Below are 22,582 nucleotides of genomic sequence, written 5' to 3'. Positions count from 1 at the left end.
AAAAGCTGAGGCCGTCACCAAACAATTGTTGCCAAGAGCTCAGGATGTTGTGGTTGGAGGGGCCTGCGCCAGAGGTCCACTTCTGAACCAATCAGCAGGGCCCGGGGGCTGGGCCATGTTCTGCTTACCTCACAGCTTCCACACCCACAGGGTTTTGGGAACCGGAGGCAGGCGGACAGCCCCAGGAGTCATAATGAGAAGAAATGCTACCTCGGTACAGTGGACGAACGTGCAAACCACACAGAAAGTTTGAAAAAGGTCTACTGGAGGCTCTGCTTTCTGGTAATGGCTCCAAAATACAAAGGGCCTCACACTCCGGCACTGACGAAGTCCATACGGCTCTTAGGCTGACACCCACCAGCCAGTCAATGGGAGAGCTGGGACCAGAGGGCTGACTTGACCTCTTCAGCAGGAGTGTCCAAGGCCTTTGTGGGCGGTGGTGCAGGTTGTGCGTGTGAATAATGAAGGCAATTCATTATTACTCAGAACACAACACCTTGGCGATCTTTAGAAACATGAGAAACAGAGCTTCCAAGGTACCTGCTCACACGCCTCTCTGGAGGTAATCGCTGTGCCGTGGCTCTTAATGAGCCACTCTCCACATGGCCTGAGGCCTGGCACCGTGGGAATTCCCTCTGTCCCTGAGTCATAGGCCTCTGCTACTGAACTGTAAATAGGGACCGGGTCAATGACAGCGGGACAGCTGGCCCAGGGAGCAGGGTTGGGGTGGGGACTGCTGGGAGGCTGCCCTGTTAATCTCTCTCTACCATACAAGGCACTCCTTGGGTGACCCCCGTGACTGTGATGCAGAACAGGGAAGGAGAGTGGGTGTTAACCTTGAGCCTAAGGCTCCTCCTCCACCTGTGGGACTGTAAGCCACCTCTCCTGGGCTGAGGGCTCTGGAAGGAGGCTTGGCTGCTCCTCAGCACTCGGGGAGCGGTTTTTCAGGCACACACACTTGAGCTCCATGACCTCCCAGATTCCCACCGCCCCTGCTTGACTCTTCCCCTGTCTCCCCTTCCTGAAATGACCCCCTCTGAATTCCTTTGACTGTTCTCTGGTTGTCAGTCTCACAGTGACAGGTGTGTAAAGCATGAGGTGACCTTGGGCAAGTTGTTCAACCTCAGTGTTATCACCTGTAGAACGGAGAAAACAAGACTACATACTTTGGAGGTAAGTGTAGGTTCCAATGAAATAACAGAGCTTGAGGGGTCCTATAGGCACATGGGCCTGGAGCCAGACCCCCTGGGTTCAGATCTGTCTTGCCGTGGGTTTTGGGGCAAGTTCCTTTTCTGTGCCTCAGTTTTATCATCTGTAAAGTGAGATGAGAATAATGGTACCTATTTCTTAGGACTCTTGGGAGAGTCAATGAGCAAATACACAGAAAACACCTTGAACAGGACCTGGCGCTAAGTGCTGGGTTGAGAGCTAGCTATTATTGTTGTTGTCAGAGAGCTTAATGTTGTGCTGTGCATACAGGAAGCTCTCAAGAAATGATAACTCAACAAAAGAAAATAAAACAAAACCCGAACCTGCCTCCTTCAATCGGGCCTTGTTTCCTAAATGAGCCTGAGCTCCTGGGTGAGGTGCGGGCATAGCAAGAGTTTCACACAATTTTGATCCTGTATCCGAAAAGCTGCCAGACACTGTGTTTTTCTTACCCTTCTTTTTGGGGGTGGAGTGAGGATGTCACAAACTCCCTTGGGAAACTGATGAAAGCTACAGACCCTCTCCCCAGAAAGGTGCTTGGAAGCAAATATTCACAAGATGTTGCACACAGTTTCAGGGGGTTCCTGGGCTCCCTGGGAGCCAGGGTGAGAAGCTCCATTTTAGATGGTGCACTGTGCCATGTCTCATTTGTTGGTTTGATCCCAACAAAACACAAGCTAGCCCTGCTCCTTTGCTCATCAGTGGGTTGTACCCCAGCTTCCACCCTGGCTCCGGGGACTCTCCTTGATTCCTCTGCCCGGGCCCTCTGGCTCAGTGCCAGCTCCAAGCTACAAAACTTGGCTGGGAGTTGAATGCAGAATTTGTTCAGCGTTTGAAGGCTAAGAAAGAAAAAGGAGGAAAAAAGTAGACTCGACTTAGAAAAAAATCAGACAAAAGAAATCATCCTCCAAGCCAAGTGCTATAATTCATAGGGCTCATATTTGCTGAGTGAGACTAAATGGTATTTATGGCTAAGCGGCCCTGGATTCACCCTGGGTTGAGTGATCCAGGAGTTGCCCAAAGTCTGGTGGAGAGGGCGGGGTGGGCCTGAGGGCTGGAAGACCAGACAACTTGCACAGGGAGACTTTGTTGCTGTTCATAGATGATGTGGTTTTTCCCCTGCTTAATGTTAAGTGTAGTTTCAGAATTTTGTATGTGTTTCTGGGAAGATGATTCCCTCAAGCAATATTACTTGGGGTAGATGGTATACTTAGAATTGGATTATTAGCCATAGGGCCCATTCATTCATACGCTCATTCATTCAAGGTTTATGAGGTGCCTTCTTTGTATGAGAAGCTGTTCTAGGCACTGGGGATACAGTAGTGATTGTGGCAATAATGGTCGCTGTCCTAATTAAGTTTACAGTGTTGGCAGGAGAGACAGAGAACACAAAATAAACAGTAAATATATATTGGATGATATGGTGTGATAAGAAGAAAAATACAGTAGGCTGGGATCTAGAGAAGGTTGGGGGGCACACTTTCAGTGAATGGTCAGGAAAGGCTTCTTCCAGCAGAGGCTGAAGCGGGGAGGGAGGGAGTTCAGCACAGGTCTGAGAAAGGCCCCTGTGAGGAAGGAGGACCAGGCACCAGGTGACCAATCCTGATGGGGCTGGGATAGCCCAGTAGGAGTGATGACCCACAGGGTCAGTTCCCACTGCTGGGGGTTTCTGGATGACGAGGTTGTTGAGCACCCCCATGCTTATGGATACCATGAGAGGAAGCATAGGGGATAGAGGGACAAGCTAAATGACACTAGGAGGAGACAATCAGATAAATCCAGAATGTGGGACATTCTACAAGACGACTAGCCTGATCTCTTCAAAAAAGCCATGTAATGAAAAATAAAAGTGCAGCCATAAAAAAGAATGAAATCATGTCCTCTGCAGCAACCTAGGAGGAGCTGGAAGCCATAATCTTAAGCAAATTAATGTGAACAGAAAACCAAATACTACATGTTCTCACATAAGTGGGAGCTAAACATTGGGTTCTCATGGACATACATAAAGATGGCAACAATAGATACCAGAGACTACTAGAGAGGAGAGGGAGGGAGAAGGGGAAGGGTTGAAAAACTAACTGTTGCATACTGTGTTCACCAGCTGGGTGGCAGGATCATTTATACCCCAAACCTCAGCATTATACAATATGCCCAGGTAACAAGTCTGTACATGTACCCCCTGAATCTAAAATAAAAGTTGAAATTATAAAGAAAAAGAAAAAGATGGGAGAACTGTTCTAGATGAAAAGAAACATACAACCAAATGAGATGTATTTTCCTTGAGCAACCCCTGGTTTGAACAGGCAAACCAGAAAAGACATTTTAGGGACATTTGGAGGAATTCAAATATAGACTTCATTTCAAATGGGAGTCAGAAATTATGTTTAACTGTCTTAGGTGTGATAACAGTGGTGAGGTTAGATATGGAAAATCATCCCTTTATTTTGGATATGGTGTTGGTGTGTGTGGGTGACATGGGAGAATGTCCATAATTTATTCTAAAAAATTTCAGTAAAATAAACAAGTAAATAAAATCTAAGATATTTGAAGTTAGGGATGGCTCGAGGGAGGAAGATGAGATACCCTAAAGGACACCACTCACCTTCCTGGGCTTGGCCAGGTACCAGATGCTTGACAAACCCAAGGGTGAACACTCTCTGTGAGTTTGGGATGGAACACACAAGCACCTGGCACATAGTACGTGCTTATTAGAAGTTGAATGAATGGATGGATGGATAGTCTTTGTTGGGATTTACTTCCCAGGATGGGCCCTGGCTGATCACTCCCTTTGCACGTGTTCACATCCCACCCATCTTGCAGGCCACCGCAAGACAATTAAAAACATGGGCCCATCATAAGACAATTAAAAATGTGGACAGGTTGCCAAGGGTCACCTTTTATGGACATGCCTATGAGATCCCTCTGAGGTCTCTTTGGGTGATTCTGGGCCACATGGCCGTCTCCCCAAACTGAGCCCCTTCCCAGCCTCCTGACAGGGCTTACTTCTGTAGCCTCATCATTAAGTCAAGAGTAGGTTGCTCATAATCATTTGATAGTGAACAGCTGACCTGACGGTCCCTAATTAGTTCATTGAATCAGGTGCTGCATATTAAATACCCTAATGCCCTAAAAAGCTCCCAACCCAGGCAGTATACAATGTAGATACTCACTAAGATCTTGGTGCCCTAAACAATAACTAACATTTATTGAGCACTGACTATTTCCAAGCATTATGCTAAGTGGTTGTCGATGTTGCAGTCATACCCTATGGAGATTCATGTGCTAAGGGTTTAGTGCTCTGGTCTGAATGTTTGTGTCTCCCTCAAAATTTATATGTTGAAACCAAATCCCCAATGTGGTGGTGTTAAGAGTTGGGGCACCTGGGAGGTGTTAGGCCACGAGGGCAGAGCCCTTGTGAGTGGGATTAGTGCTCCTATAAAAGGGGCCTGGGCGCTTACTTATCTCTCCCTCCAGGTGAGGACGCTGTAGGAAGTCATCTGCGAAGCGGAGAGTGCACCTTTACCAGACGCGGAGTCTGCTGGCGCCTTGATCTCGGACTTTGCAGCTTCCAGAACCGTAAGCAACACATTTCTGTTGTTTATAAATCATCCAGTCTAATGTATTTTGTTATAGCAGTCCAAACAGACGAAGACAATGAGTTATCTCTAACTCCCCTAAGCAGGCTGTTTTGGTATTTTTTACTTTAATTCCTAGCCACATTTTACATACTGGTCTATGGTCTCACAACAGAAGTGGCGGTGCCCTCATTTGAACTCTGGTTGCCACTTTTCTGCCTCTTTTCCAGGAGTGATGCACAGGCCACCTCTTCTGTGACCTCGAGGGCTCAGGATTCCTCATGTCCTGAGGCTGGTGCGTTTGAGGACGTATGGCCTAGGCAAGCCATGAGCTGGCAGGGCCCCAGAGCTGCCTCATGCATAAAACACAGTTCCAGTTATGAGTTTTGTTTTCTACCAAGCCCCGTGTTGAAACAATTATCTAAAATCGCGCATGCCCTTTCTTTCATGATCCTTCAGAAGCACACCACAAGACCATGAAAACTCAGGCAGATTGACAGGTGTGTCGCTTTACGGATGTGCCTGGAAGGACCCTCTCCCCAGAGGTCAGCCCTGCGGAGGTGTATACTGTGGTGGCAGCCACTCCTCTTCAGCAGGGAAAACCATCATGTCTTCAAGCACCTTTGGGTTTCTTGTCAGTCAGTGGGGAAAGGGATTCCCAGCAGGTCCCCAGGAGCATTTGCAGCTCGGACCCATCACCTTTTCTTCTCTTTGCTCTTCTGTTAGTGCTGGGTTGCCGTCCATTTCCCTGTCAGTGGAGGCTGATATTAGATAAATACCGGCTGTCACCGGTGGGCTCGGCCCAGGTTTTCTACCCCTGACTACATCCTTTCAACAGGTGTCTGGTGACACAGAGCCCATGTGGTCCTGTCTGCCTCACAGATGTTAGGTTCCAGCCAAAAAAAAAAAAAAAAACAAACAAAAACCACAACCCTAGGGTGGAAAAGAAGTGTCCAGATTTTACTGAAAATGAGGCTTTCTAGGGCTGCTGACTAAGGCGTTTTCTTTCCAAACATCTGAAACAGCAAACAGATTGTAAATTAAGAGGGAGTTACAAGATAGTAGCTGAAGGGAAGCAATACCTGCCTGTCTTCTGGGTTGTAGCTGTTGCTGCATGGCCAGGACAGCAGTGGCCAGGAAAGGTGATTAAATAGGGTGGGGGAGAAGGGATCACCGTGGAACAGGGGTGCCGAGACAGATATTAGGTTAACGGGAAGTGAGTTCAGGCCTCTTCTTTGAGCCAAGGGAGAACATTTTATCTGACAAGAGCTTGAACTGACCCGTGCCATTCTCTGATTCCCACCCAGATCAAAGTTCAGACTCCCAAGGCAACTCAGCAGAAATAAAGTGAAATAAATTGCAACCCCACTCCCCTGATGCTTCCTAGGACTAAAGTGTTCTATGAGGAGTTGGACAGTCCTTAGGCAAGACTTCTCTCCTCCCACTGAGTAAAAATACTGATTTTGGTAACATGTCTCCATTTAGCTGAGGGTCTCTTTTAAGCTGTGGCTTAAATTTATTTATTTTAAAAAATTGTTGGCTGAGCACAGTGGCTCATGCCTGTAATCCCAGCACTCTGGGAGGCTGAGGCGGGCGGATAACCTGAGATCAGGGGTTCAAGGCCAACCTGGCCAACATGGTGAAACTCCATCTCTACTAAAAAATATAAAAATTAGCTGGATGTGATGGTGCACACCTGTAGTCCCACCTACTTGGGAGGCTGAGGCAGGAGAGTCGTTTGAACCTGGGAGGTGGATGTTGCAGTAAGCCAAGATCACACCACTGCACTCTAGCCTGGGCAACAGAGCAAGACTCCACCTAAAAAAAATTATTTTTATAGAGACAGGGTCTCACTATGTTGCCCAGGCTGGTCTTGAGCTCCTGGCCTTCAGCCATCTTCCTGCATCAGCCTCCCAAAGTGCTGGGATTACAGGTGTGAGCCACCGTGCCCAGGCTATGTGACTTGAACTTATAACAGAAGGAGAGCCCCCAGTGTGGCTTGCTTTGGCAGTAATCCTGCTGGGTTTGGGGGTCCTTGGGCCATGTTGGGAAGCCTGGTCCCAGAGCTACAAAGTCAGAAGCAACTCCACCTACCCTCCCTGCACCACCTCCAGCCCAAACTTGGAAGTCTTGCTTTGGATAACAGAGAAAAATAAAAGGTTGGGGGTGGGGTGCGGTGAGGCTGACAGTGGGTGGGGCAGGTTTCCTTAGGCAGCATGCCTTCAGGTGCTCCTGTGGTATCACACTCGGCAACTGAGAGGCATCTTTACTGATTTCCTCCAACCATCCACTCAGGGCACCCTAGGAGGAATGGTCAGGATGGGTCCTAGGTTCAGGGGTCTCTCCTACAGAGCTGTGTACATACTTTTCAACTAGGGGCTTCCTGGTGCTGTGGGCTGTAGAGCTGTACCCCAGGAGTAGGATCACCCCATATCCAGTTCTTACCTGCTGGTTACACAAGGCAGGGATTGAGGCAAAAGCCAACAGAAACAGATAGCATTTGGCAGAATGAAAACCGAAGGGTTTGGGGGGTTGCTTCAGAGCTTGGAGAACTGAGTCAGTGAGTGATAGAATATGATATTTTGGGGGAAAATTTGGACATTGCTTGAGGTGAGGGTCACAATGTTTGCAGGCAGAAGCAAAGCACAGATTCAGGAAGGGTCCCCGTACATTCCCCTGAGGGGCTCATGCATAAACTGGCTTAGGAAGCAAACAAAATGAAAGTCAGCCCATGCACCAGGCACTGTGCCAGAGGACAGAGGACAAACATGAGCCAGATCCAGTCCCTGCTCTCAAGGAGCTCATGGCCTGAGGGAGAGAGACAAGTAAATCCATCATCAGGAAGCAAGGTGAGAGGTGACATAACAGCCCTCATCCCACTGAGGCTGATGCTCTGTGGCTGTGTTCAGGCTCTGTGATCCTTCAGATCTGGGCTCAAGACTTTTCTGCTTCCTGGCTCTATGACCTTGGGGGAAGTGACATCATGTCCCGTCTTGGTTTCCTTATCAGGAGATGAGTTCAGGTACCTTTTAGGGTTACCGTGAGCATTAAGAGAGAATGTGTGTGAGGCCCAGTACTTGGCACTCAGCAGAGCTCTTAATAAATGTGAAGTAGTTTTATGATGAGCATTACATGATCACAGAGATTTGCCAAGCAATCGCAGAGGCTGGAGAGCCAGCTCTGTCTGTGGAGGTGGCCCAGAAAGGCTCCCTGAGGAAATGAGGCTGGCTGGCTGGTGAGAAAGGCTTTTCCTAAGAGACGATGAGCGTGGGCCAGCCCTCAGTGGGCATTTGGTAACTAGCAAGGAGCTGGTAGGCCAGGTGGGAGCCTCCATGCAGAGAGGACGATCCCAGTGCTGTGGAACCTGCCAAGGAGCTGACTGTCCAGAGAGTAAGGGGGTACCATGAAGGATGCTCAACAGGAAAAGAGCATTCCATTGGCATAGTGGAAGGTTAAATTGGAGGTGGGACGGGCAGAGGAAGGTCAGTGTGAGGCTGTTACAATAATCATGTAAAGATGATGAAGGCTTGAAGAGAGAGGCAATGGATACTTAGGAGGTGTCACTGACAGGATTTCAGGCCAATAGGATGAGGGGTAAGGAAGGGGAGCAGGCTGAGAGTGAACCTGAAGTGTGGCAAATGGAGCAAGGGTGATCCTAAGGCCAGGGGCATGGTGGGGTCGGGTGGAGGGCTGGAAGGCTGTGAGCACAAGCCTTTGTGGTACACATGTTTAATTGCAGGAGTGTCTTGGGGACATCTAGGTGGGGACGGCCATAGGGTTGTCAGAATAGTGGTGCAGGGCTGAGCACAGTGGCTCACGCCTGTAATCCCAGCACTTTGGGAGGCCAATGAGGGCGGATCACTTGAGGCCAGGAGTTTGACACCAGCCTGGCTAACATGGTGAAACCCCATCTCAACCAAAAGTACAAAAATTAGCTGGGCTTGGTAGCACACAGCTGTAGTCCCAGCTACTTGGGAGGCTGACACAGGAGAATTGCTTGAACCCTGGAGGCGGAGGTTGCAGTGAGTCAAGACTGTGCCACTCAACTCCAGCCTGGGCGACAGAGTGAGAGACTGTCTCAAAAAATAAATAAATAAATAAATAAATAAATAAATAAAAAAGGGGGTGGCGCACAGAGCTCAGGGGAGAGGAAAGATGACGATCTCCACTGAGATCATCATTAGCTGTTTTGATCAAGGATTCTGTAGCGGAAACACTGGGTAGGAGATGACAGCAGCCCCTCTTCTAAGGTAGACACAGCGCAGATCACAAAAGATCTCCTTATTTTCCCTCCTTGACCCTTTTGGTCTTCGTGACCCTCCCTAGTCCCTGACCTTCAGGGGAGGGATGGTGAGGCAGGAGAGGAGCATGAGCTCTGGTCAAAAGGAGAGCTGGGAGTGAGCAAGCGAAAGGCTTTGAAGTCACAGTTGACAACAACAGTGACCAGTATTTTGTTCCCTAAATCCTGGTTTTTGAAAACTGAAGGAAGGGAGCAGTTTTTGAAAGAGGTAAATTTAAAATAATAACATTATGTAAAGTGATATGCAGTATTCTCACAGATGGTCCAGGCTGAAAAGATAACTGAAATGATAGATAATTGAAACAAAGCAGATTCCTTAAGGGCAACTTTAAGAAGACAACCATATCCTCCTCCTATCAGCCTCCTATCTGCATCATCAATGACAGAAGACTGATCTGGATGAATGAAGATAAAAAGTTGTTTACTGAGGGCTTTCTATATGCCAGTGATGATATGGATCATCCTCACTTAATCTCCCATCCTGAGTAGATGTCATTTGATCTTCTACTTGTTTTATCATCCTTATGCTTCTTTTGGAGAACTAGTCAGATTTTTTTTTTTTTTTTTTAAAGATGGAATCTCAGCCAGGCACGGTAGCTCACACCTGTAATCCCAGCACTTAGGGAGGCCGAGGCAGGCGGATCATGAGTCAGGAGTTCAAGACCAGCCTGACCACAATGGTGAAACCCTGTCGCTACTAAAAATACAAAAATTAGCTGGGGGTGGTGGCACGCACCTGTAACCCCAGCTACTCTGGAGGCTGAGGCAAGAGAATTGCTTGAACCCAGGAGGTGGAGGTTGCAGTGAACCAAGATCTTGCCGCTGCACTCCAGCCTGGGCAACAGAGTGAGACTCCGTCTCAAAAAAAAAAAAAAAAAAGGAGTCTCACTGTGTTGCTCAGGCTGGTCTCGAACTCCTGGGCTCCAGTGATCCTCCTGCCTCGGCCTTCTGAGTAACCAGGACTACAGGTGTGTGCCACCATGCTGGGCATCACAGAAATGTTCAAGCTGCGTGAGGTTTTGGGGAGCATCTGTAGAAATGCTCAGGATGGCCCATGAGATGCCACAGGTGTAACATGATTGGATTTGGCAAGGCTTCACCTGTTTTTATGACTGGTGGGCAAGATGAAGAAATGTGGGCATCACTGGGTTGAGAAGCCGCACCCAGGGTCTTCCTGGCACACTGGATGTTTTACTGGTCAACATTTTGTGTGAGTGATTTGGATTATGAAGGATGTTTATCAATCTGTGGATGACAGAGCAGAGGAAGGAGGGCAAGTCTGTGTGTTGATGGTACAATGAAGATTTGATGGGATGAACGGGCTGAAACAATGGTCTAAAGCTGACAAAAAATCCTGAAAAAGGATCGATATAAAACCGTGCTTTTAGGCTCAAAAAACTCAGTGACACCAGGAGATGAGAGATGAGAGAAAAAAAATCTGGTTTGACGGCAGTTAGGGGTAAAAGGCTGTTCACACACTGAGCTAAAGAGGCAATATTGTTGCCATAAACGGTAATGCAATTTTAGGCTACATTAAAAGTAGGGTCTGAAATAAACCTGAGCCCCATGCCAGTGAAGAGATGGCCTCTGGCTCTGTCAGGGGAGCACATTTTAAGAGGAACTTTGGCAAACTGGACAATGTCCAGAAAAGAATAATGTGTGTGAGAAAGGCCTGGAAACCATGTCATCACGGGAGGTTTGGTAGGAGGAGGAGCATGGTAGTGATCTTCAGATATTCATGGAAGAGTCTAGGTTCATCCCTGCAGCTTGAGAGAAGGTAACTTGAACCAATGAGCAACCGGTTATGAGAAACCAGGTTTCCGCTCAAGGTCCTAGCAATCTGTGCTGCCAGCCAAGCGTGTGTGTGTGTGTGTGTGTGTGTGTGTGTGTGTGTGTACGTGTGCATTGGAGGTGGGCAAGGAGACTTCCTGGTGAAGTCCTGAGCCCACTCAGTGTCCCTGCAAATGTTCAGGCAAAAGGTGGCCAGCCAGCTATTCAGACGGGGGTTGGGGGTGGGGTGGGGATGCAGGAGGGTATAAACAAAAAAGCCAAGAGTAAGGGAAACTGGGTTCAGGTCCTGCCCCTGGTTATAGATATGTAATGATGTGCCAGTCAGTTTTCTTATTTAGGCTTCCATTTCTTCAGCTATGAGTATTGAGTCATCTTTGGTTTTCAACTTTTGGTAGCAATGGAACGTTTTTATTACATGAAATCTTCTGCAATCACCTTTCCCCTCCCTAAATATATAAGCCCAGTGTGTTATTATTGGACACACCCTGACTGTAGGTGCCAAGGCCTCCTGGCACTGCTGCGGGGCTCCTGGGAGTAGTTGGAAAGCACTGGACCAGCTGATCTTCCAGCCCTAAAATTCTATTCTTTAAGGTTTTCTCCTACCTTAGTTTTTGATTCTATAGACTCCAATCCCTCATTTTATGAAGTACCTGGTGCTTAAAAAAGGGATTTATCGAAGATCTTACAGCTGGTTAGTGACAGGGCTGTATTTAACACACAACTCCCACTCCAATTCAGTGTTCATCTCATCAGGCTGCCCCTACTTCCACCCGGGACTTGTCTTAGCACTTGTTCCTCCATGGTCCCAGGAAATCCTGTACTGCCCTCTATAGATCCTTTCCCTTTTGGAAAAGCATCAAGAAGGCAATAAATCTAGCCTGAGGCATTGCAGCCTGAGAAAATGATCTTGGAATTCATTTCTCTATGCATTAGTTTATCTCAAGGAAGTATGTTTATGAGCTGAGAAATAAAAAATAGGTGTGGCTCAGACTACTGGTTGCCCTATATGATCTCTTCTTCCTTACAACTAGGTTCCCCATCTTTTAGATGGCCACCCAGAATAGAGGTATTTCCCAGCCTCTGTTGCTGCTAGATAGGAACCTGCAATGAAGTTCTGGCCAATAGATTATAACTGGAAATACTGTGTATGCCCTAATGAAAGTATCCTTAATGGGAAGGAGAATCCCTTCTTCACTCTTTCTACCCTGATGGCTGGAATATAGGCATGGAAGGCCATAACCTTAACGGCCACCTTGGACCAGAGGGTAGAAACCATGTGTTGAGAATGATGGAACAAGCTAGTAAGGACTTCAGAAGGTGATCATATGAAGCCCCTTACCAGCCCCAGACTGTTTTCTTCCAGCATTTTACAGGAGGGAAATAAAATTCCACTGTTTAAGCCACCATTACCATTTTCATCTACTCTGTCATTGGTTGTAAGGTAGCATTACTTAGTACGTCGCTAAGAAAAAGAAACTGCTGCCAACTAAAGACAACCCATCCAATTGTATGACACATTCCAATTTCAGAGAAGTTAAAATGTGACAAAAGGATGAGTCTTACTACATGAAATGCAGTATTTTGGGTTTTTGTTACTCACAGCCAAGCCTAATCCTAACTGATTCAATAAACATGAAGGAATGAAAAGATGACAAATTCTACATAAAGAACACAATCATGAAGAGGGAAGAACAAGCTTCTCTATTAAAAAAAAAAAAAAAGACGACTCATAAAAATAGTACTGATGTGACTCAACTTAGGAAAGTTTTCTCCCATGCTTCCCAGTCTGGCTTGGATTAACCTGGGGAATTATGTCTGGCTCTCGGGACTTGGGCATCCAGTGGGATGAAGCTGCGGGATGAATGAGCTGGTTTTAAGACATAGAGGACCCAAAGCTGTTTGCTGAACCCCAGTGTAGGCTTTGGCCTTTTGCGGCTCCTACTACTTAGTTTCTTCCCCTCTTAACTCTGCAGGAACTTCCTGGTTGACTTTAAGACAGATGTGCAGCTGCTGATGACCAAGACAAGCTTGTAAGCGACAGGCTGCCCCTTAGCTGAGATCCCAAGAAGGTGCTCAAAGCTCTTCCTGCCAGCCACTGCTATTGTATAGTTTAAATCTGGTCTGGCACAAAGCTGACCATCTTTTGGTCTTCAGTACTGAAGCATTAACTTTAAGTTATGATGATCCAATATTAATGTACCTGTTATGAAATCATCAAAGACCAATACAACAACAAAAGGAAAGTCTGGCTTATCTAAAAGTGGTTATAAGATGAAATATCTGAGTCATTAAAATAAGCCACTTTCATAACGAAGGCCCACTTAATTTTAAAATGCCAAGTGACTCTATTATTATTTAGTGACCCTTTCTCCTGTGTCTGCTTCTTGAACCTACTGGGACTCCAGGAGCTTTCACGGAGTTCCCTGATGCTATGCTCTGGCTACCGCTCACTGACTGTTTACTCATGTGACAAATGTCTTATTAAATACATCCATTATTTAATACATCAACCTCATGAGGTAGGATCACTCCCATTTTTATGGATAATTCAGGCTCAGAGAAGTTGATTAATTTTCTCTTGGTAACACAGTTAACATGTGGGCTGTGAACTTAGGTTGGTGAAACTTGCCATTATAATTTAGTTGTAATGTACTATAGAAGTAGCCCTTTATGTTTCAATTACTGAAACATGAAAAATTCTGCTAAGGAATTTTCCGAGTCATCTTTTTCCACCCAAAAGGTTTGCTGGACACTAAAAACTTGTGATTATTTTGAAAGAAAGTTTCTCTGAAAAAGACCAAACTTTTTTTTTTTTTTAATAGTTAGGGAAATGGTGGGATATGGACTGGATAGGCATCTTGTCACTCCGTCACTCCAGGCCATACTTACATTACACTCAGGCAAGCGTTCCAATGGCCAGTGTAATCCCCTGGCAACACAGGAATCTGCCAATGACAGAGGTGCAGGAGTTCCACTGGCACATTCCCAGAGTGGATGAGGCCGACTGTCAGCTGACTGCCTGTTCCTGATGCAATGTCATGTGACTTTTTGCTGAAGCAATATCTAATATTCTAAAATTTTTAGACTTTTTCTGCCTACCTTCATTTCACGCTTATATATTCTTGGAAAGAAAAAAAATCCCTACAAATCCCTATTTAACCTTGCCAATACTCTGATGAAGACACATTATAATGAATCATGGGAATTTCTTTACTGATCTCATGTTCTATATAAAAACAAACAGCTCAGCTACTAAAAGTGCTGATCCAATTCTTATAGGCCAGATTCTAATTCTTCCTGGCTTCAACAAAGTAGAAGCCCTACCAAAGATTTTCTCTGGATTGAAATATGTTAATATTCAACAAAACTTCTCATTCAAACTCATTACATTTTTCCTCACATACCAAAGTACAAAGACACCAGGCTAAATTTCTTTTAAATTATTTTATTTTTGTATAAGCTAAAAGGAAATTTACACACTGAAATTTCAAAAGACCTTGGGCATGCACATTAACCTTGTTAGAGGTTCTTCTACATGTCTCTCTTTTTTCCATAGGAATTTCCCCAAACATTTAAAACCCATAGTTTTCACTGTATATACAGCCTAAACCATAGCAATCTATGATTATGTCATTTTACACTGTGCAAAATCCTCAAAAAATAGTGGTACAATAGAACAAAAAAATCAGTAACAAGTAAATTCCATTGTAAGACATTCATATAATTTGGTCCTTCTCTGAATCATACTGATTTTAAACAGACACAATCTCTTTAAACCCCTCCAATCAAGTTCTGACAATGATCCATACCCTATAACAAAAGAGCAATTAAGTACCTTGCAAAAGGTCAAACAGCAATACGCCAGATTGAAAAGATTAAAAAAGCCCCAAAATGTTAACAAAAGCCAGATCTGAAACCCATCATACACAAAATTAAAAAAAAATTAAATGGGGGACTTTGGAGCTTATTTATGATAGCAAAAGTAATTTGACATGTAATATGAAAAATCAAGAGGACAGTCAATGCAATCTGAAAAGACTGAAGGGGATTTCACAGACAGTGAAGATTTGAGTTTTTTTTTTATTTCAAAAGTTTTGTAAGAAGGACACCACCAGTGTATTTCACAAAGACATAAATGTATACACCCCAGCAACACAAAAAGAATAAATCTTCAAAAATGTTTACCCCCGATTATTTACATTTTTCTAATATAAATTTAGGACTTCAGTATGTAAATAAATATACATTACTATGTATACCTTTCTAGTGCGGCTTACCAACAAATCAGCTGAACTTGAATTTTTTTTTTTTTTTTTTTTAATTAGAGCAGGTATGCTTTTGATGGTAGGGAAGGGATGGAAAAAAGGAAAAGCAATAGAAACTGTCCAATTCACATCAGTTATCCGTCTGCTTTTTCTTGAGAGCTTGTGGAAGGTGTTAACGTGGCTGGGAACATCAACACCTTGGCATGCATGAATGTTAAGTCAGGAAGGCCAGCGATCACCTTGATAGCTTCTTCACTTAGGTGCTCTTCTCTTTTCGGTTTCCTACTGACAAATGAAAAAAAGACAAGTGTGTTAATGTGACTTTGCTGTAGGTAAAATGGGAGACAATCCACTCTCAAGGTAGACAGTTAGCAATCTGTGGGGACTTGAGTATTTTTTCCTCTGCTAGTTCCTGAATCTTGTAATACTTTTGTGCAGTATGCTTCCTGTGCCAAATGCCAAATCTCATGAAGAGTGACGTGCGGCCTATTTATGTTCATTAAAGCTAGGCATGCACACACAGATACTCACATGCACACCTAGACAGCTCGTGTACTTTCTAGCCTTTACATTAGGCTAGAAGCATCTACCCAGGCATAATTTTAAAATGTTACTAAACAGAAATATAAATCTGAAGCCTTAGTAACACTCCACCTAACTGGGTTTTTCCCTGCCCCTCCACCCGCTAAAACTACCTCAGCCTGAAACAAAGTGTGCCCAGGGAAAGACTAAGTCATTTTAACCTCAGGCTCTCTTTATCCCCAGTGGGGAATTCCAGGAGAGAAAGCTCTCAGCTCAGAAGACCCAGTCTCAGCCTGTTGGGATACAGACAGCAGGTCCAAAAGCAGCAGCACTAGGGCTGGTTGCTGGTGTTATTATGCACGTACACAGGCAGGACGGAACTCTGGGTGAGGGAAATCTCAAATCCTATGGGTCCTGTAGATGAAGTAGATTTTGCTGCACTGGCCCCCGATATGGGAAATTAGCAGTTTGGTGCCTAACACAGACAAGAAAATGCCTGGTGACCCAGGTCTACTCAGCAGGTGAGCCACAGAAAATGCCAAATGAGCCTCAAATTGGGCACATGATTGCAATTCAAACTTTTTCTGGGATATTAAATATATTAAAGGAGTAGTTATACATATTATTCGCTTTAGACCAAAAATCATTTCAAGTTGTTCATTATAAAAAGCCTAATAATTCTCTTTTATGGTAAAGGATAGCTGGTATTCTTAGATGTGACACAAGGTATTTCTTTGACCTAAATGTTTCCTTTTTCCTTGGATGGGGTGCAGGAAGCCAGGAGGTAAAGCAAGAAAGGAAGGATAGCTACAGGCTTTTTTATTCCTAGGACTTTTCTGTTACCACTTTGAATCCAGACTGAAATAAAAAGATTTTATAGAATGAATGAAAAATCCAACGACTTTTAGGACTAAAGTTTTTCAAAAGGGAAAAAGCATCAGGCATATAGCAGATGAACCAAATACTGCATTCAGTACTAGGTTCTTAGAAGAATGGAATAGCAATCCAACATTTTTTTCTGATGAAAATCTACATTTTTAATTGCACTTAAATAGTGGCAAAACTATTATGTGGACGTTTGATGGGGAACTGGATATCTGCATCATTCCAAAGTAAAACCAGATACATGACAAGTGAAAACCTGGAACTGTATAATGGAAAAGGTCAGTTTCTCACCAATCGTCAATCTCAGCACCACTAACAATGGAGTCAACCAGATGTATGGATCTTCTGATGTGATATAACACCTAGGATGCATTCTAGCCAAAATATTTACCCTGAATTCAGCAAGCCTTTAGATATAATTTCCAATTTACAGGAAAATAGGGAGATAGAGAACACAGCAAATATTACTTGAAGGAAGCAAACAGACAAATCCAGAGCTTTTAGGACATTCTGTAGGACACCTATACTAATCTTTATATAAGCTACTGTTAATAAGAAAACAGAAGGAATGAGGAGATATGCTAGGTTAAAAGGGACTTAAGAGCCCCAACAGCCAGGTACAATAGTCTTCAATTGAATACTGGTTTGTACAAAGCTGAGAAAGGATAGTTGGAGAAATCTGAATATAGCCTAAGTAGATGAAATGAAAACTCACTGAAATGGACAGAGATCACTGACTAAGACTAGGTCAATTTTAGAGGTCAATTCACTATGACCTCTAAAATCTCATTTTTGGTGGAAACCCCCCCCCCCCCCCCATATATGTATTTGCATAGGAAAAGATCTGAAAGAATTACACTAAGGAATTATAGTGATCCTGAATGGTAAGAATGTGATACTTTCATTTTTAATTTTTTTTGGTCCGGATTTCCTAACTTTCTAAAAATATACTTTACTACTTCTATAATGATAAATGGTTATTTAAAACAACAGTGAATAAATGCGCACCTAAATGGACTTTCCCATTTGTGGAGTGCAGTTTGGGTGTAGGAACAGACAGCAAAAAATAAGTTTTTACCTAAGAAACAGTTGGTAAAGATTATTCTAGGGTTTTAAACAATTGCCTTATTTCAGAGGCAATATGAAATTATATTTTAAAATAAAAAGTTTACACAGTTCATAGTTTGTGCATTTATCTGTGGTCATTGTGCATGGGTGTGAGCTAGTCTTCTTAGAATATGGGAAGAAGCAAACACTTAAGGAGAATTTGAAAATAAAAAGTTATATCATGATCATTTCTCAAAGGCAGTGACCTAATTTTGATCTATTCCTCTCTAGTGAAGATTTATCCTTTTTATCAATGGAATATAATTGAGAATATAATTGAGAGTCCAGGAAAAAAACATGATCAATTGTTTTTTAATTTTTGTTTTTGACAAATGTGCCAAAACCTTTCAGTGGGGGAAATCATTTCAACAGTTTTCAGACAACTGGATATCCACCTGCACAAGAATGAATGTGGACTCCTACCTCATACCATATACAGAAATTAATTCAAAATGGATTAAAGACCTAAATGTAAGAGTTGAAATTATAAAACTCTTAGGAGAAAATCTAGGTATAAATCTTTGTGACCATGAATTGGGCAATGATTTCTTAGATATGATACCTAAATCACAAGAAAAATTAGATCTTATCAAAATTAAAAGCTTTTGTGTGTCAAAGAATACTATCAAGATAATGAAAAGACAACCTGCAGAATTGGAAAAGATATCTTCAAATCATTTCTCTGATAAAGGCTTAGTATCCAGAATATACTTAAAAATCTTACAACCTAACAATAAAAAGACAAATTATCCAATTAAAATATAGGCAAATGGCTGGGCACAGTGGCTCATGCCTGTAATCTCAATACTTTGGGAGGCTGAGGAGGGAGATCGCTTGAGCTCAAGAGTTCAAGACCGGCCTGGGGCAACATACTGAGACCTTGTCTCTACTAAAACAAAAACAAAAAAGGCAAAGGATCTGAACAGATATTTCTCCACAGAAGATATACAAATAGTCGATAAACACATGAAAAGATGCTCAACATGATTAGCTATCAGGGAAATGCAAACAAAAATGTCAATGAGATATCACTTCAAACCCACTGGGATGGCTATAACCAAAAAGACCAATAACAAGTGTTGGTAAGAATGTGGAGAACTTGGAATGTATATTACTGGTGGGAATGTAAAATGGTGCCATCACTTTGGAAAAGTTTGGCAGTTCCCCAAAGAAGTTAGAGTTCCTATAAGACCCAGAAATTCCACTCCTAACAGAGTTGGAAACATCTGTCCACACAAAAACGTATACACAAGTGTTCACAGCAGCAACACTACTCATAATAGTCAAAAAGTGAAAACAACCCAATTATCAACTGATTAATGGAAAAGCAAAATGTGCTATTTCCAATGAAATATTATGCAGCCAAAAAACAAATACGGATACATACTACAACATGAATGAACTTGAGAACAGAATGCTAAGCAAAACCGAGACACAAAAGGCTGCAGACTATAGAATTCCATCTATATGAAATAACCAGAAAAGACAAATCTGTAGAGACAGAAAGCAGATTAGTAGTTGCCAGGGCCTGGGGAACGAGAGGGATAAGGAGTGACTGCTAATGGGTACAGGGTTTCTTTTTGGGGTGATAAAAATGTTTTGGAATTAGATAGTGATGATGGTTGCACAACCTTGTGAATATACTAAAAACCAGTGAATTGAACACCTGAATGAATTATAAATTTTTATCTCAATAAAAAGGCCTAAAAAAGAATAAAATTTCTTTGACCTGCATAAACTTCAGTTACAGGTCTATGGCTACTAACTAGCTGTCACTAATTAGTAGTGATTTAGAATAGGAAGTAATTTTCCTCCATATTAGGAAAGTTAGGCAAGAAGATGGAACTATTTTAAAACTAAGAACTTGCACTTCTTTAAAAAACTCAAAGTGAGAAGTCACTTTCACAACTTGTGTTCCAAAAGAGAAGAGCACATATAAATTCCCTGAGACACTCAAAGGCACTTAGTAAAGAGTACTGGATATTGTTTGGTCCATGTCAAATTTCTTCTACCTTGACCACTGTTTAACTCCTTCTTACCCTATAGTCTATCAAAATGCCTTTTCACTTTATCTTCTGCTTATTGGCAATAGCCAAGAAGATTTTGCTGAGCTTTATTTTTTGCAGTTTACTTTATTCAAGAGAAAAATGAAAGAAAACCTAAAAATAAGATACTAAAAATGCTTTCTGAAATTATGCTACCAGCCTGTCTCTGCTCTGTACGATTGAGAATCACTCGTTGGGACATTTTACAGTATTTTAAGACTTGCGGGCATTTGTATTTTTTTACCATTTTCAAATGACATTTCTCAAAACAGAAAATACAAAGTTGGCAACCTGTTCTCTCCAATTTATTTTGTTTTAAATATGATGCTGGACAGGTCCTAGCGAGTAACTCAATACAGAATTAGCAGACATTAACTCCAGGATACATTATTAGTTCATTCCCTATTAGTATAGAACAAGAGAAAAAATGAAAATAGCTTCTTAAAGTGATAGGGCTTGGAAGAGTTCTCTAGATTCAGCATGTTTCAAGGATGAGTTAACGAATTAGGAGAACAAGTTAAGGTGGTTTAGAGCTCCTCCTAATGGCACGAAATGAATTCTCATCATTGGGATTTTCAAAACTTCTATAGTTCTTTGGTCAGTGAGACTGCAGGGGAAACAAAGGAAGGAAAGAGTAGAACTGTCCCAGAAAGGGTTGTCCTAAAAATAGCAGGGGGAAACCCAAACAATAAAAGCATCCTTTTTGGTTTTTAAGTCAAATGTGTGTTAGCTTTTAGTTAACATATACAAATTTCTCATCCATTTTTTTCTATGAGAGGAGTTTCGATTTGAAGAAGTGATTTATTTGGAAAGAAAAAAATTTAAAAAAAGCCACATAGCCACATTTACAAGTAGGTTCATTGAAGAGGAGGCTTTGGCAATGCCAGGTGGCATACTGCAAAGACATGGGGCTATGAGAACAATGGAGAGAACTGGCAGACAAACAAGGATTTACATGCTACAAAGCCATTCTAGGGAAAAGTTAAGGGTAGTCTAATGTATAATAATGTATTTCATAATTATAAATATTAAAGGCAATAAGAAAAATCTGGGGGAATAAAAGCACACAAAGTTTAAAAGACAATATGATAATTCAAGCTAAAGTTAAGAGAGAGAAACATTTATTATTCACAATAAAAAAGGCTTTTTTAAATGGATGTCTTTCTATAGAAGAATCTATTTAAAATATAAACCTGAATTTAACATGTGATTGGGATGTATTTATTCAGGAGAAAGAGCTATAACACTTCTTTTAAAGTAGGCAACTAATAGGTAAATAGTTCCACTTTAAAATGCTGATGCATCACAGATTTGAGACAGCAGAGCTGGCGTGTCAATCAACCAGTATTTGCTTTTGCACTAGTGATTTCCTGGTTCAGAATAGTATCTTCCTGTTAGAAACTGGCTTAGTCTTATGGTTAACAATAACTCAAAGCAATGGATTGTACTAGCCTAATCATATGAAACTAAAGATTCTCTGAATCGCAAACACATGGCCCGAGTGACATTCCGTGCCTTTAGTTCCAACACAGGGAGATGGTAATTGCTCTTCAATAGGCCATGCCTCTGAAGGGGCTTCTAGAAAGCCTGGTAAAGTAAGGCTTTACCTCCCAAATCAGAGGTGCATGTCAATGAAAATTCCAAGAACCATCTTAGCCTGCAAGTAAAAAGATCAGCCTAGGTGACTCCAGGATTACAAAACTGGGTTCTCAAAGATGATCTTCTCAGTAATTATGAAGAGAAAGGGAGAGTGTTTCTATAATGGCTTTATGATCACAATACTTAATCAGAATTAGTCTCTACAAAGTGAGGTGGGGGGGCAGGGGGTGGGGGAAGAAAACCACATCTGTCAGCCTTGGCCAATCTCTTATGAAATAATCCTGTTCTAATAAAGTTCATAATTAAACATAATTTGATAATATTTTCTGGACTTGGGCATCGACTGACTTTTATAAAGCAAGTTGTGATATAATATATTGAAATGCTGTCAACTGACATGCTTTTTCCTTTGGGTCGTTTTATCTCAGAATTCAAAATGTGGGTATAATTGACACTATTTATTTACCTGGTAGATGTGCTTGTCTTCTCTACTGTAGACATGAGTCTTGCAAATGCATCAGTCACTTTGAGGCTTGAGGTGGAGATTTCCAGCTTAGAAGTTGTTAACTCATACAACTCCGGATCCACACCTTATAGTATAAAATGATAGTCAGTGATGGCAGGCTGCAATGGGTTACCCAGTTAGCCACAATCCAAGATGCAAAAGGCAATATTCTGTAAACATCTGAGTGTTTTACAAACAGAACATATCTTTAGAACACTGCAATACTGCATTTATTTTTTACAGTATAAACTCCACTTTTTGGAGTTTTTATAAAACAGGAAAAGACTTTTCAAATTCCATTTTGGAACGAATATATCCTTAAGCTAGCATTTATGCAGCAGATGCTACCCAAATACTTCTAAAATTTCTATCTGCTATAGAAAACTCCCCCAATTTGGATTAGGATGTGATATAAAATTATCAATGTTTTATAAATAGAATGCACATGATGTGACACCCCATTTTTCAATTAACTAATCTCATTTTAAAAATTTTCCTGTTTCCTCACCTCCTTATTTTTTCTCTATTTTCTTCCACAGAAAAAGATTTAGAAGCTACCACAAAGTCTCAAACATGGTAAATGATCTGGTTAGTTTAAATATATCATGACTGGCCAGGCGCGGTGGCTCACGCCTGTAATCCCAGCACTTTGGGAGGCCGAGGCGGGCAGATCACAAAGTCAGGAGATCAAGACCGTCCTGGCTAAAACGGTGAAACCCCGTCTCTACTAAAAATACAAAAAATTAGCCGGGCATGGTGGTGGGCGCCTGTAGTCCCAG

The 22,582-nt window shown here is 42.6% G+C and overlaps 1 protein-coding gene and 1 long non-coding RNA gene across 20 annotated transcripts in view, besides 2 other annotated features; one reads left to right on the top strand and one right to left on the bottom strand.

Annotated features, from left to right (window-relative positions):
• Positions 46–1,245: an enhancer, noted in NCBI's record as "BRD4-independent group 4 enhancer chr2:64833199-64834398 (GRCh37/hg19 assembly coordinates)". NCBI's record gives its function as "activates an origin of replication core promoter dependent on BRD2, P300/CBP, MED14 and CDK7 cofactors, and independent of BRD4, by STARR-seq in HCT116 cells {active_cell/tissue: HCT116}" and the evidence as "EXISTENCE:reporter gene assay evidence [ECO:0000049][PMID:35650434]".
• Positions 71–22,582, top strand: part of LOC105374773 (uncharacterized) — a 68,499-nt gene continuing 45,987 nt past the window's right edge. For 5 of the 7 annotated variants that reach the window (XR_007086343.1, XR_007086342.1, XR_007086340.1 and 2 more), the window contains exons 1-3: positions 71–282; positions 1,069–1,173; positions 4,684–4,785. This is a non-coding gene — a long non-coding RNA (uncharacterized LOC105374773). The remainder of the gene's footprint in view (positions 283–1,068; positions 1,174–4,683; positions 4,786–22,582) is intronic. The other 2 variants (XR_007086347.1, XR_007086345.1) reach the window with 1 other exon arrangement.
• Positions 481–530: an enhancer, noted in NCBI's record as "active region_15895". NCBI's record gives its function as "activates an Ori minimal core promoter by ATAC-STARR-seq in GM12878 lymphoblastoid cells {active_cell/tissue: GM12878}" and the evidence as "EXISTENCE:reporter gene assay evidence [ECO:0000049][PMID:35858748]".
• AFTPH (aftiphilin) overlaps positions 14,305–22,582 on the bottom strand; it is a 68,678-nt gene continuing 60,400 nt past the window's right edge. For 7 of the 13 annotated variants that reach the window (NR_164746.1, NR_172363.1, NM_001375969.1 and 4 more), the window contains 2 exons: positions 21,765–21,888; positions 14,305–15,425 (listed from right to left, as the gene is read on the bottom strand). Coding sequence is in view for 10 of the 13 variants with exons in the window: in NM_001375969.1 (NP_001362898.1) it covers positions 15,275–15,425; positions 21,765–21,888 (275 nt within the window). In the remaining 3 variants the exon portion in view is untranslated. The remainder of the gene's footprint in view (positions 15,426–21,764; positions 21,889–22,582) is intronic. The other 6 variants (NR_164747.1, NM_001375970.1, NM_203437.4 and 3 more) reach the window with 1 other exon arrangement.

Source organism: Homo sapiens, chromosome 2 (assembly GCF_000001405.40).
Source record: "Homo sapiens chromosome 2, GRCh38.p14 Primary Assembly".
NCBI lineage: Eukaryota > Metazoa > Chordata > Mammalia > Primates > Hominidae > Homo > Homo sapiens.
Note: the sequence above shows the minus strand (reverse complement) of the source record. Positions and strands in the feature narration are given on the sequence as shown.